The following is a 16,220-nucleotide window of genomic DNA, read 5'->3' on the forward strand; positions in this document are numbered from 1 at the left end:
TTTCATCAAGCTATTTTAATTAGAATCAATTCTACTGCTCTAGAAATCTCAATTCTAAAAGGCAACGAATTACTTTTTTCACTTAGGTTGGCAGTCTACAACTCTTTATTCTGACAGAGTACTCAAAATATTTCTTTTCCAAAGCCTAGAGGTAAGAGACATTCAATTATAGTTGAAAGATCACGATTCCAGCATAATTTGCTTTGAACCATATTTAGCATGGATTGCAATGTATCCTTTGTTTTCTAGACATTTGGTTCTTCAGTATAGAAGCAGCCTTTTAGCACTATGGCATTTGTAAACACCTGCCTCACTGATTATCATCTTCATTAAATAAACTTGAGCATGTAGAGGTTCTCTGTATATCTCACTTCCACATCCTTATATTGAACAGGAAATCTTTCTCACCCCCACTTATTAAAAAATTTAGTGAGGAATAATTAGATTAATATATGATACACTTGACAGAAAGTGTAACTATTCTCATTTTTCTAACTTCTTTAGCCTTTCTGTTTTACAAATTGCATTGGTAGGTGCTATGGTTTGAATATCTCCTCCAAAACTCATGTTGAAACTTAATTGCCATTGAAACAGTATTAACAGCTGGGGCCTTTAAGAGGTGATTAAAACTTGAAGTCTCCACCCTCATGAAGGAATGAAAACCATTGTTGTAGGAATGGGTTGGTTATTGTGGGAGTGGGTTCCTGATAAAAATAATGAGTTCAGGCCCAACTTCCTCTCTCTGTTGTGTGCACTCACTTCCTCCTCTTGCCTTCCTCCATGAGACGACCCTCACCAGATGCTGGTGCCATGCTCTTGGACTTCCCAGCATCCAGAACCATATGCTAAGTAAACTTTCATTGTTCTTAAATTATCCAGTCTCAGGTATTCTGTTACAGCAGCAAGAAATGTGCTAAGTCAGTAGGATGGATAAATTTTGAGAAATGAGGTGGAAATGATCATGAGACCCATCAGTTAAATACTCCTGAAACTTCTAAGTTAAATGAGTGTCTTCATCCCTAAAGGTGAAGAGAAGCAAAGACATAAACACCACTTCTTATTTCGATAGAATATCCTCCAGATAGTGTTTCTCTATATCCAATTTTGGCAGACAGACTCTCCAGATGGCCTCCATGACCTCTGTCTCCTAATGTTCACATCCTTTTGTGATTTCCTCCTTTTGAATATGGGTAGGACCTGTGACTTGTTTCTAACTAACAGAATACAGCAAAGATGATGAGATGCATGTGATTTTGAGTATATTAGTACATGATTATGTTACATAATATTGTAGCATTTGTCTAGAGTCTCTCCCTTGCTGACTTAGAGAAAGCAATCAATCATGCTGGTGAACTGACGCTGGCATCTGAAGACAATCATCCAAAAACTAAAGCTACCCATAACCACAAAGAACTGAATGCTGCCACAACTATGGGGGTAGAGAAGTGGATTCTTCCCCAGTCAAGATTCCAGATGAGAATTCAGCCCTGGTTGAGGTTAAGCAGATGACCCATCCATGCACAGACTCCTGACCAACAGAAACTGTGAAATACTAAAAGTATACTGAGTAAGCCACTAGGTTTTATTGGCTAATATTGTTACAAAACAGCTGAAAGCTTTTCCACATCAATATAACTCCAATTTCTCCTGCTCAATCCTCTGTGATCATAAAACCACTCATGTATTCAAGTCATGCCTAGTCTCTTACTCTGGCTAAACAGCTTAAATGTCCAAATATAGGATTTTATTTTCATTCTTTTGATCATTTCCCCTTCTCCGACCCATTCAATTTCTCCTTTTTATTTAAAATATTGTGAAAATAATTAGACATTATTGTGCAATAAACACATAGCAATGGTAGTCCTCATTTAAAATGTATTCAGGTCGAGTGTGATGGCTCACGCCCGTAATCCCAACACTTTGGGAGCCTGAGGCGGGTGGATCACCTGAGGTCAGAGCTTGAGGCCAGCCTGGTCAACATGGTGAAACCTTGTCTCTACTTAAAATACAAAAATTAGCCAGATGTGGTGGCAGGCGCCTGTAATCCCAGCTGCTCAGTAGGCTGAGGCAGGAGAATCACTTGAACCTGAGAGACAGAGGTTGCAGTGAGCCAAGATCACACCACTGCACTCTAGCCTGGGCAACAGGGCGAAACTCCATCTCAAAAACTAAAAAATTAAAAAAGAGAACAGGTTGGTAAAATATTTCAAATATTTTGTCCAGTAAAATATTTCAAATCCTAAATTAATGTTTCTACTAAAAAAAAAAATACAAAAATTAGCTGTGTGGTGGCACACATCTGTAGTCCCAGCTACTAGGAAGGCTGAGGCAGGACAATTGCTTGAACCTGGGAGGCGGAGGTTGCAGTGAGCTGAGATGGCACCACTGCACTCCAGTCTGGGCAACAAGAGCAAAACTCCATCTCAAAAATAATAATAATAAAAAAAACAAAAATGTATTCAGTGTAAGGTAGTTGCTGTTATCATCATCTTTGTTATTGTCAAAATTTTCAACATTTTAGTTTTTAAAAATTTTAGTTTGCTTGGCTATCACTCTAACAAACTACAAATTATTTGAATGTTAAAACTATATATTTTTATTTATGAATATCCATCAAAGGCATTTTATATATATCATATATAATTATATATTCAATATTTTATACATATACACATATACTGAATAAAATCAAGAGAGAGAACATCTTCAGTTTCATTTTAAAAATTAAGTTAATCCAGCATAATTAGCTCATTATAAAACTATACATTCTATAATTGCCAATTGACTTCTTAATGTTAAGCTTAATGATCTGTAACTACTATCTTTCTTAGTCTAAAATAGAAAACAAGATTGACTTGTTTTGTTTCAAAATAAAGATTAGTAGTTCTTCAAATGATACCTGTTACACATGCTTTGCTCAATTTAATTTTGATTAGATTATAGCATGTTAGGAAACATTGCTCATAAACACATACAACACAATAACTTTTTCCCAAAATCAATATATGGATTTCATTGCCATCTGAAATAAGATTTTAACTTTTTGATCAATATCAAAGTGTTTGAATATATACAGCCATTCACCATTATTTCATTGACCTGCTTTATTTTTGTTCATAGTACTTACTACTTCTGGACAGTTGGCCATATATTTATTTGTTTGTTTGTTTATTTAGTTAACTGTCTTTCCTCACTAGAATATAAACTCCATGAGAGCAGGGACTTTTTCTGCTTTATTTATTGCTGCATCCCCAGCACCTAGAATAGCCTTGCATACGGGTACTAAATGAATATTTATTTAATGAATACATAAGTAGATAATGAAGATATAGAGACATAATAATATCTATTTCAATGGACTAGAAGAATACTTAGTTATCTCTGGGTATTGGAATAAGTAATTTTCAGTTTCTTCTTTTCCTTTTTGTCCTGTATTTTCTAAATTTTCTAAAAGGAACATTTATTACTTCTATAAAATGTTTAAAAATTCGTAGTTTGAATCTAATTAGAATAGAAAAAAATAATATCTGAATATAAGATAAATATGTCCTGTGTCAAGGGGGTTTTCATATCTTATATTTTGACATAAACTTGAATTCCAGGTAATAGGCTAACTGGTAGTGTATGCCTATAAATTCACATCTCTCACTTGACCTATGCTGTTGAAACAGTATCACAATTAAGATGTTAGCCAGACATTTCTCAAATTTACTAGTAAACACAAAACGTTTTTTTTCCCCAGTAACACTTGCCCAGAACATAGGGAAATACTATTATATTCCCAGTAATGGGAAGCCAGTGAAGTTTTTCAAGGTGTGTGATACAGCCAGATATAGGGGACAGATTTTACTGAAAATAAGAACACAAACCTGGAGACAAAAAGCATAATTAGAAAGTCAGTATAGTGGTCTCGGCAAGAGATAATGAGGGTCTAAAATAAATAGACTAGAGTTTGGGGTAGTAGAAATGGCAAGTGAATTAAAAACATTGAAATGGAACACTTTAGGAAATTCTCACAGTAATCCAAATAAGAGATGGTAAGAGAATATCTTTCCCCAAAAGTGCAGAATTTTATGATAGCCATAAGAATGGATTGGAGAAGTGCTTGACTAATGCGTAAACCATTAAAAAATAAGGATCTGCCTGAGTTAAAATAATGTGATACATACTTCAAAAAAGAATAATTTAAATATGAAAGGATTAAGAGATAAGCTTTTCAGAATATGATAAAATCTTTAAATATTTTTGCAAAAGGTGATCTTCTTTACAATCATAGAGTGAAGGCTGGCATATTATGGAAAAATGATAGAATAATTACATTATAATAAACAACTGAATATTTGAATCCTAGTTTTTTTCTTTCTTTCTTTTTTTTTTTTTTTTTTTTGAGAAGGAGTTTCGCTCTCGGTGTGATCTTCGCTCACTGCAACCGCTGCATTCAGGGTTCAAGCAATTCTCCTGCCTCAGCCTCCCGAGTAGCTGGGACTACAGGCGCGTGCCACGACGCCTGGCTAATTTTTGTATTTTTAGTAGAGACGGGGTTTCACCATGTTGGCCAGGATGGTCTCGATCTCCTGACCTCGTGATCCGCCTGCCTCAGCTTCCCAAAGTGCTGGGATTATAGGCCTGAGCCACCGTGCCCGGCCTGAATCCTAGTTTTTAAAGAATTTACATATAGTTATACTTACAGTCTAAATGTTGTTAAATATAAGATAAACTTATTTCCATAATGGTTCATTTCATTACTCAATATAAAGACCCAACAAACCTTTTGTTTTAATTATTAACTATGGAATTTAATTTCATGTTTTAAGTAGATTCACTGTAAGTTGTCTTTTTCTGGTACCAACTATTCTTGACCAACAAGGACCTAATTAACAGCCTCAGAGATTACTCAAGAAGAAAGTGTGCAGAATGGGAAAAGTAGATTAAGAAAAGAAGACTTAACACTTAGGAAGAAAACAAGCCTATGAAGAATATGGAGAAGAAACAAAAGGATAATACATATCATACACTAATTCACAAGGCAATCCTTTCTTTTTTTTGTTTTTGAGATGGAGTCTCACTCTGTCACCCTGGCTGGAGTGCAGTGGCACAATCTGTGCTCACTGCAACCTCCACCTCCCGGGTTTAAGCGATTCTTCTGCCTCAGCCTCCCAAGTGGCTGTGACTACAGGCAAGCACCAACACACCCGGCTTATTTTTGTATTTTTAGTAGAGACAGGGTTTCACCATATTGGCCAGGCTGATCTTGAACTCCTGACCTTGTGATCTGCCTGCCTCGGCCTCCCAAAGTGCTGGGATTACAGGCGTGAGCCACTGCACCCGGCCAACCCTTTCTATTTTTCACTAAATCTATTTGTTGGTGACTTTACCTTTGCATTAAGCTGAAATCTCTCTGAAACATTCTGCCCCTGGTTCTAGCTACTGGAACTACATAGAACAAATCTTTAAAAATTTTTGTTAATATAATAACACTTTAGTGTACTAGAAACAGTCATCTTAATGATAGCTACAATTTGATTGGGTAACTAGTATGTGCTAAGATGAGCACTCAGAGAGGTTGGGTAATTCGTCCTATGCTATATCAAAGCGCATGTTCTTTTTGCTGTGCTATGTTATATCCACTGTTTCTCTTCATTTTCGTCTTTTTTTTTTCTTTCTTTTTTTTCCTTTTTCTGGAGAACGGGGTCTCGCTATATTGCCCAGGCAGGTCTCGAACTCCTGGGCTCAAGCTATCCTCCCGCCTCTTGCCTCCCTGAGAGCTGGGATTACAGGTGTGAGCCACCGCGCCCGGCCTGTTTCTCTACATTTTCTCACCTTTAGACTAACATCCTCCTAACTCCTTAGCTCTAGTCTTGCTCTTCTCTAATTCCATCTCCATATTGCTGCAAGAGTAGTCTTTCTAAAACACAAATCTGATTATGTTATTCTTCCTGTTTAAATCCTTTCAGTGGGTTTCTAGTGCACGTAGGATAAACAAACCCCTTAACATGGTTTATAAGCTCTTCATGATGTGGCCTCTGCTAATCTTTCCAGTTTCATCTCTCACAACCACTTCCCCCAACCACTATGAACCTCACCTTTATCCCTCCAGCCCACATTCTAATATCCAGTTACATGAACTGTCTGTCAATTTATAAAACATGTCTTATAAAACAATTATAAGACATTCTCCCTTTTGGTTTAGGAGCTTCATAAACACTATTTCCTCTATGTGAAACACTAATAGCCACTGCTTTCTCCACTTCTACACAGCTACCTTCACTTTTCCCCCAGCCCTCAGCTTAGAAGTCACTTCTTCCATGAAGCTTTCCTTGACCACTGAAGTCTAAGTTTGTTGCCCGTACTACATATTTCTATAGTATCCTCGCTCAGTGCTAACACTACTTTTGAATACTATCTTAAGACTCTTCAAGTCTTATTCAAGTGTCTAGATTCCTGCTACTAGCATAAAAATATCAGGCTAAACGAACACCACAGAGTACTACAGTATAACTGTGCAAAAAAGCTATAGCTATTACCTAAGTAAAATAAAATGGTTATTTTTTTCCCTTCAACCAAAAAAAGAAAATGAATTTTATACAAACTTACAGCTTAAAAACTTCTCAAAGAGCTCCCAAATTGATTTAAAACTACTGGTAGGTGACATCTATTAAAAGGGCTCTGGACATTATAATTGTAGTCAAACTCCTACTTCCTTTTATTGCTAACCTTACTATACTTGCCAGAAGAAAGAAAAAGCAGCAATCCAGTACAATACGCTTTGTAAAAGCTGCACACTCACTCACCCGAAACCCCACAATGAGAGTGATCATACAGATGTCGTTGTTGAAGGGCAGACTTTTTGTAAATAACATGAGGGTGGCCATTTTCATAACTAAAATGCTTGGAATCCTCTGTGGTATTCTTTAAAGGTTCGATAAAATACTCTTCATCTTCTGTAGCAATAACACCATGCTAAAAGAAAAATAAACAAAGAACTTACCAAAGAGAATCATTTTAAATATTAGTTATCATTATTACCAAGAGCTAAAAGTAAATGGACACTTCTCCATTTACAGGGTTAAAACACGTTAATAAAAAAATTAGCGAATTATCTGTACTCAATTAAAACATTATATAAATGTTCCTATTCTTTAAAAAGGACATTTAAATACCTCCATATGCTATGCACTGTACTAAGCATGTCACATACGTGATTTCCTCCAATCTCACAACGACTCTGTGAGGTAACAGATTTTATGTGAACACTAAAACTTATTTCAGTTCCACATTATGCACATAACTATGTCCTCTGTGTTTAGATATAGCTTTGTGATTGAGTTTTGCACAATAAAAATATGGGCAGAGGGTTATGTAACACTTTCAGCCCAACCTCTGAATACCTCTGCAGTGGAATCTTCTACTCTCTTTCCCCACTGAACGAAGAGAACTCCAAATACCTAGGGTAGGTAGAAACCAAAAAAGAAGGAACCTGGGTCCCTGTGTGACCTCTTAGAAAGATGTCTGATGTAGACACAGACATACAGAAGAAATAAGCTTCTATTGTGACAAATCATTGACATTTTGAGGTTTATGTTACATCAATTAATATGTTCTTAATTAACACACATCCCATACATCCCCCATTCTGCAGATGAAGTAACAGGCTCAGAGGACTTGCCCAATATTACATAGAGGTAAGTGAGGGTACTGGAATTCAAAGTTCTGCCCTTACTTACAGTATTATATCACCTTATCCCTATTTACTTAGCCAAGTGCTACTCAGTTATCTCTCCTCTTTAAAAACCTTCTCTAGTCCAAATGGAGTAGCTTCACCCTCCACTGAGCTCCAATAGAGCTAATTCTCAGTATCACTTATTTTCAATTAATCCCACACTGCTTTGTTACATCTCAAGTCGTGAAGTCTTATTTAAAGTTGGTATAAGTTTTCAACTCATATTTTAGCTTCCCAATTAGATAATTTGCTTTTTAAGGCAAAGGGTTATATCTCATATTTCTTCGTATCAGTTAAAACCATAGAAAGTGTCCCACATGTAATAGGTATAAATAGAACTTTGTTGATGAAAAATGAGATGGTAAAAGTTATCTACATCTGAAATAAGAATTTCCACCTTTGTCTAATAGTGTTTTCCTAAGTATGGCACATGTGAGGACTGCTCTTAATCCAACTAATTTACCCTGTAACACCAGATAAAATAAAAACTCTCTGGGTGTATTTCCTCAGCTGGAAAAATGAAAGAGTTGGTCTAAATTAGTGGTTTTAAAACAGCACTCTGGGGAGCCCTAAGGGTTCCATGGAAGTGCCCTCAGGGGATTGCCCCAGACAACAAAGGGAGACCTACATGGCTTGGATTCCTGGGTTTAGGAATCAGCTGTGCTATTTATTAATCTATATATTAAGTTTCCACATAACATTTCATTTGAAAAAGGGGTTTTGCTGCTTTAAAAAGAAAGCTGAAAACCTCTAGTCCAGATAATCTCTAAGGTCCCTTTGAATTCTAAACCTCTATGATTCTGCTTAGGGAAATTCATGTTAAGTACCTCATGCTTGGAAGGAATGATAAGACATAATCAGAGTTGCTCTAATTTATAGATTAAATTGGCAGTCACCTACATGAAATGAGCTGAGGAATGCAAACAAAAAAAGCAGCCCTGAGTCACTTCATATAATTTTCACCATTGTTTGCTTTAATTTAAGGAAAATAGTCCCTATATTAAATGCAAATACTGGCAGAAATAACATAATATGCCATTAACATATTCTAATACCTCAGTATGAAGTACTTTACCAGGTAGATCAACAATGTGCTAAAAAACTGAACACAGTTCCTGCAGAATAAGGGGGAAAGTATAAGTTTTGATAAGAGGGATATGTAGGAAGCAAGGTCTAGGCTACAGTCCAGATAGGCTAGAGACTAAAGTCATGCTGGTCTGTGGGCACAAGAAAATTGAAAGTTACCAGACAAGAGACTTGATTTGCTGGGGAAAAATGAAGTCAGAAGCCTGGTAAGTAAACACAATCTCTAATTTCAAGAATGAAAAGACTCTAGAAGAACAATCCAGAGATTTTATATGTTAGGTACTTTGTAAAATGTTTATAACATTATCTCTTCTTAATAGCTCTTTGACGTACCACTAACTGTTCCACTTTGTAGATGAGAAACTGAGATGGAGCAACGTTAAACAATGAACTCGTGATTGACTTTGGAGCCTGAACTCTTAACCACTACACCATAATTCTCTTATCCTCTAAGGGCTGTTTCTGTATTTATTTATTTTTTCACAAAATATGCTTTCTCAAGTGCCTATCACAAGGCAGATACTATGCTATGTGGTAGGGATACAACAGTGAACCAAAGTTCCAGCTGTATCACGTTGCTTACATTTTGGTGGGAGGAGCTAGAAAAAGCTAATTAGGTTGGCGTGGTGGGTCATACCTGTAATCCCAGCACTTTGGGAGGCTAAGGCAGGTCAATCACGAGGTCAGGAGTTTGAGACTAGCCTGACCAACATGGTGAAACCCCACCCCTACTAAAAATACAAAAATTAGCCAGGCATGGTGGCACACGCCTGTAATCCCAGCTACTCGGGAGGCTGAGGAAGGAGAATCACTCGAACCTGGGAGGCGGAGGTTGCAGTGAGCTGAGATCGTGCCACTGCACTCAGCCTGGGCAACAGAGCAAGACTCCGTCTAAAAAAAAAAAAAAAAGCTAATTGATTATACAAATAAATGATGAAGCAGGTACTGATAAACATTAAGAGGGGAGATAAAAGCAATCAAAAAGGACAGAGAATAATTAGAAGTGAGAGAATTATACAAACTATTGGATAGTTGCAACCATCCTCTCTAATAAGGTGGTATTTGAGCAGAAACCTGAAAAAAATGAGGGAGCAAGCCAAATATATATCTTGGGAAAGGGCAGACCAGATACTGGGAACAACAAATGCAAAGGCAATGAGGTAGGAGCATACTTACAGTATTTCAGAAACAATCAGGAGCTACAGTGACTGAAGGGAGGGAAGGGGAGAGTGATTATGAGATTAGAAAGGGTCTGAAAACCAGATGATGGAGGGCCTGAATTTAGTGGGAGTACCAGAAATCTATGCATGCCTGGCAAAAGCCTTGCTCTCACTTACCTCAGTATCCCCATTCACCTTTACACTATCTGCCTCAGGACTATTAGGGCTAATTTCACCATGCCTCCTCTTTCCTTGAGGTATAAATTCCTTTGAGAAGCCCAAACCTCACCCCCTGAATTCTAATTCTCATATGATTATGTACATCTTGTTTTCTGATCCCATCTCCTACCTCTCCCTATTATTTGAAACACTTCTACTGTGTTCTCTCAAACTCAAGGTCAATCATCAACAAAATCTCCTCTACCACCAGCTTCATCTCTGAATATTCACTTCATCTTGCTCTAACAAAAACCTGAAGCTCCCTAAATGACACTCCTTTCCTGTAGTCCTCTGGAACGGTGGCTGCTTTGTCTTCTACATGCCTCCTATTGGACCTGAAGGTAGGGTCAGATGTTCTTGCAACTCACTGTCATTTCCAAACAATTCTTTCTCCTTCCTCAACAAACAAACACCAGCATTGAACCTCATGCCATGATCTTCTCCCTCCTTTCCCAGTTGCATTTATCTATTGATCCCAAGTCAGTTCCCTCATTCCTTAAAAATAAGAGATTCTAGATCACCGTCATTCTCTGCAACATCATTCCTGAAATAGTTGTTGATTTCAATATCTTCTTACATCACAGGTTCTTAAAATACGTGTATGTGCATGTGCACATACCCTGAATCCCTTTGGAAGTCTAAGGGTGAAACCTAAGGACTCCTCCTCAGAATATTTTAAATGCAGAAAAAATATATAGGATTATAAATAAAACCAATTTAGTAAAATACAGTTATCAAAATATTTTTAAAATATAATACATATAACTTGTGTAACACCTTAAATAAGATATTCAGTGGCTCTAATAACTACCACAATTTCACAATTAGTGATGAATAAAAATATTTTTAAAAGAATGCAAAAACCGTAATGATATGAAAATATCTGTGGTTTCTATTGGAGGCAAAGTCACAGGTACTGCTATCAACATATTGGTTTGTTACCTATATTTAAAATTGAGAGAAATGTTAAATTTCCATTAAGAATTAGTAAAAATAAAGATGTGATATTTGCCCACTTCAGTTCACAATCCCCCTGAATCCCATCCATGGACCTAGTTTAAAAACTAATGACATAGATGGTCTCTTCATTCCCTGCCCTCTCAATTCCTTGACCTCCTCTCCTTCAAATATCTTGTCCCTCACCTTACCTTTTACACCATGCCCACAGTCAATCCCTAGACTTTGAGCATTATCAATATTTGGAGCCTTCTATAATCTTGATTTCAAGTATCCCATTCTTCTATCTTTCTAAAACTGTCCCTCTAATATGCCAACTCCAAGGGATAGTCCTTTTATCCCCATGAGGTCCCATAATCCATTGATCCTATCACCTTTTCACTGTCCTTCACCCACCTCATGTCCTCACTTCCCTCACAACCCAGCTTCAATTCCACCTTCAATTCCCTTACCTCTTTCTCACTTCATGGAATCCAGCTGGCTAAACCACAACCTTGATAAGATTCAACTTTGCTGGGCCTGCACCTTTGCAGCTGCATTTAGCCAGAGAAAAATACAACAAAATGCTGACTGGTCTCACTTTAGATTCATTAATAATTTTAACTGTAACTGTAATGCTTCACAGAAATTATATATTTATCAAGTTCATTCAGTATCCCATTCTCCTGGATAACTATTTCATGTTTTCTCATCTCTACTTAATCCTCTAAAACCTTCATATTCCCCTCCGATAGACATTGCAAAACCTCCTACAAATTCCTACAATCACAAATACCCACCTACCTGCATCTTATGTCCATATAATCTATTTTTCCCTATTATTATGGATGAACTATCTATTCCCCTAGCTAAAGGTAATTATTCTATTTGTGTGGAAAATTCTATCCTTTCTCACCTATCAAGAACTTCATTCCAGCACCCCTCACTCTACCTAATCATTCCCACTTCAAACAAAACAAAACCTCCTGCGACCACACTTCTGCCTGCTACTGAAAATTTTTTTGCTTTTCCAGAAATCCTTGAAATAACTGTCTACATACTCTTTTTCTCTCCTCCCACTCCATTTTAAACCTACTCCAATCATGTCATTGCCTCTTCTTCAAACTCTTCTTCACTGAAACTGCTTTTGTCAGGGTCACCAATAACTTCCTCAATGATAAATTCAATGCAATTTGCAGTGCTACTCTTATTTGGACTCATCAGCAGCACTTTCCTCTTGAAATATTTCCTTCTGGCTTCCAGAACATTTTCCAGATATTCCTTCAGCTTTATTACTCTGTTCTATGTTGTTTCTGCTACATCTCTCTGACCTCCCTGACCTCTTGGAATGCCCAAGGGCTCAGTCCTTAGACCTCTTCTCTATTCTACCTATGCTCCCTTCAAAGCAATTTCATATAATCTCTTGGCTTTAAATGGCATCTATATATTGATGACTCCCAAATTTATAACTTTCTAATTCATATCTCTCTTCTGAACTCCAGACTGACATATCCAATATCCTATACAACATCTCACGTTTAACACCTCCAACTGAACTCATGATATACATCCCCCTACCTACTCCTCGAACAGCTTTTTCATCTCAGTTAATTCCAGAGTCTTTCTCATCTTAGTTGATGGCTGCTAGATTATGTTAGTTGCTCAGGCCTCGAACTTGTAGTTATCATTGATTCTATTTTGTGTCCCCTAAAGCCTTTACATCTGGCTCCCAGTTTCCTTTCTGACCTCAACTTCCATTATTCTCCCTCCCTTTCTCTTGGCTACAGCCACGTGACCTCCATGCTGTTCCTCAAACACTCTAAGATCATATCTTTGTACTTTAAAATTTCTACCTGGAAATCTTATCCCTCAGATGCCAGCATTTCCTTCCTCCTTTCCCTTAGGGTCTTTGCTCAATACTTTTTCCTCCTTGCCATTTATCACTACCCAACGTATTATAGTTTTTATTTATTTATCTTTTTGTGTGTATACCCTACTAGAATACAAGCTATATGATAACAGAGATTTTTATTTTTCACTACTGTAATCCTAGCACCTACAACAGTGCCCATTATATGGAAGGTACTTATAAGTATTAGTGAAATGAATGAATAATGAAAAGGGGAGAATGACAACTATGGACATGACTAAATGAACAGAAAGTCTAATGGGATCATTGAGCTTTTCTAACTAGCTATATGGTCTTTATAATATTCAGAGGGACTGAAGATAATCAGTCTTCATGAAATAAGAACAGAATAGGCCGGGCGCGGTGGCTCACGCCTGTAATCCCAGCACTTTGGGAGGCCGAGGTGGGCGGATCACGAGGTCAGGAGATCGAGACCATCCTGGCTAACACAGTGAAACCCCGTCTCTACTAAAAACACAAAAAATTAGCCGGGCGTAGTGGCGGGAGCCTGTAGTCCCAGCTACTCGGGAGGCTGACGCAGGAGAATGGCGTGGACCCGGGAGGCGGAGCTTGCAGTGAGCCAAGATTGCGCCACTGCACCCAGCCTGGGCGACAGAGCAGACTCCGTCTCAAAAAAAAAAAAAGGACAGAATGTAAGAAAATCCAAGAAAAAGAGAAAGAACTTTTGAAAATTAGAAATATGACTGCTGTAATTTTTTAATCAACTGAAGGAAAAGAAGACGAAATCGGGGAAATCTCATAGAAATTAGAACAAAAAAGAAAACAATGGAAAAAGAGAAAAAGATAAGCGAAGCAGAGAACCAATTCCAGAAAGAGAGTGCAGGGAGGAAGAAAAAATTAAGAAGATAAAATTATTAAGGAAATAATTTTTTTAATTTCTCTAAGCTGAAGGAGGGTCTTTATTAAAAGCACCCATCAAATACCAAGCAGAAATTAGGAAAGAAAACCCATAGTTAGCCATGTTATAAGTTCCTGAAACAGGAAGGATAAAAGGAACATGCTTTCACTGAGGGAAATTTTTTTTAACTAAAAAAAATTTTTAAAGAATAAAAGGACAAGAATCAGACTAGCAGCAGACTTATACCTGTGAATCAATGCTAACTTTTAAGACCTTTAAGTATTTTTCTTTTTTAAAGCTATAAAACCATATAAATAAATTTTATGCCCTATATATTCCCTTTCCCAGTACCACCATCCATCATTCTTAAGGAAGATGATTTTTTGAACCCAGAATTTCACATTCAGCTAAATTATTAATCAAACATGAGGGCTGCATAAGGTCCCTTTCAAATAGACACAGACTCAGAAACTTTACTTTCCAGTCGCTGTTCTGAGGTAATTTTTGAAGATATTCTCCAACAAAACCAGGAATGTAAACTCAGAAAGAGAAAGATGTGGAACTAATTTAGGAAAGAAGTCCCAAAATGAGAGATGTTACAGAAACTAACATCAAGAAATTAGCCCAATAAATTAATTAAATGGCTCCATGAAAAATGCCTCCAAAGAAGAATGGAATGTATTTCAAGCAATAGATAAAAGGACTAAGGAAGTGGAAAATATTAAATCACTTGATAAAGAAACGATATTTTTTTTCGCACTGAGAAAAAGTAAAAGTAAACAGAAACTCCAGAAAAAACAAAACCTGAGTAAGAAACCATGGTCCAAATACACAGCAAATTAAAATATGACATTATATGAAGCTGACAGACTATAATGTTAGGAATTTTGTATTTTGAATGGTGCAAGAGTCCCAGCACTAAAACTATGGGTGAGGAGATACGATTAGAAAACACTAATGATCTCTGCATTAACAACTATTTTATATAGAATGATTAAAAACATAGAATTTATTAAAAGTGGTGGCCTTTGAAAAGTAGAATTTTTTAAAAAACACTTGTTTACATATTCCATTTGATTAAAAATGTAACATCCATAGGAGGTGGAGGTTGCAGTGAGCCAAGATCACGCCACTGCACTCCAGCCTGGGCAAGAGTAAGACCCTGTCTCAAAAAAAAAAAAAAAAAAAGTAACATACAAAATAAGAATGAAGATAAAGTTTACTAAAACTGGTGTGTAAAAGTGTGAAACATCTGCTCACAAATTCCTTACGAACTGCCAAGGGAAAAAATAGTAACTTCAGTGGACAAACCTGGCAGATCACACCTTAATCAAATAATCAAACTTAGTTAACACGGACCATACAGTGTCAATAAGAGACGAAGTAAAATAGGTGTTAACAGAGGGAAAGAGAACAAGAGACAGAAAGTCTCAATAAGGATGAATAGGTGACATTTTGTCATCTCCTTCATTGTAGAAAAGGTTCCATTTTCAACTTTATTCTCACTTTTGAGTCATCAAACAGCATGTTGCACAATTTCATAAAGTCACCTACATTAATGGCTCTGAAGTTACTCGTTTCCAGAATTGAATTCTTTTCTAAACTTCAGAGCTACATTTCTCAAATACCATTAGATATCTTTAACCTTTATTTATTCAGATTCCTCACATTTGCTATATCAAAGGCATGCTCTTCAAATTCCTCTCCAATCCAGCTCTCCTCTGACATTCGTTCTCAACTCATAACATTCATATATACTTTCATCCAAAAGAGATATCTCAGCCATCTTCAATTGCTTTCTCTCCTGTATCTCACAAGTTCAATTCTATTTCAATTTTTTAAAATATTATTAACTACCTACTATGTATTCTCTGTCTTATTACATGTCAGGAAAGAAAAAATTAATAGGATGCAAATATTTTAAATTTTGTCCCTAAATGTGGTTCAAATTCATTCTGTCTTCTTTATTCTCAATGCCATAGTCTTCGAATAGGCCCTTATTGTCTCCTACATGTTCTAAATTATCTTCATATCTACAATCACTCTTCTCTCAAATCCCACAATGGAATTAGTTTTGTTCTTGAATGTGCTCATTTCATCACCCTGTTAAAACTAGCAATGGCATAATTAATGTTAATGCCAAACATAAATAACCTAGTCAATAACTAGGAATAGTATTTTTCTATGATAATGAATAGTGTGCCATTTTAACATATGAAAAGTTTTAGAACACATTTTGGATAATTTTATTTAAAAAAATAAATCTGTTTTATAGAGAAAGTCCTAACACTGCTTATAGAGAAACTAGTAATGAGTATACTCAATTTGTCT

The 16,220-nt window shown here is 36.6% G+C and overlaps 1 protein-coding gene across 12 annotated transcripts in view; it reads right to left on the reverse strand.

The window, feature by feature from the left end:
• The window catches only part of ADAMTS6 (ADAM metallopeptidase with thrombospondin type 1 motif 6), a 333,183-nt gene that overhangs the window by 304,641 nt on the left and 12,322 nt on the right, over positions 1-16,220 (reverse strand). For 11 of the 12 annotated variants that reach the window (NR_135689.2, XR_007058575.1, XR_007058576.1 and 8 more), the window contains one exon: positions 6,792-6,960. Coding sequence is in view for 9 of the 12 variants with exons in the window: in XM_011543117.3 (XP_011541419.1) it covers positions 6,792-6,960 (169 nt within the window). In the remaining 3 variants the exon portion in view is untranslated. Of the gene's footprint in view, positions 1-6,791; positions 6,962-16,220 lie in introns of those variants that run through there. The other variant, XM_011543121.3, reaches the window with a different exon arrangement.

Source organism: Homo sapiens, chromosome 5, assembly GCF_000001405.40.
Source record: "Homo sapiens chromosome 5, GRCh38.p14 Primary Assembly".
Taxonomy (NCBI): domain Eukaryota; kingdom Metazoa; phylum Chordata; class Mammalia; order Primates; family Hominidae; genus Homo; species Homo sapiens.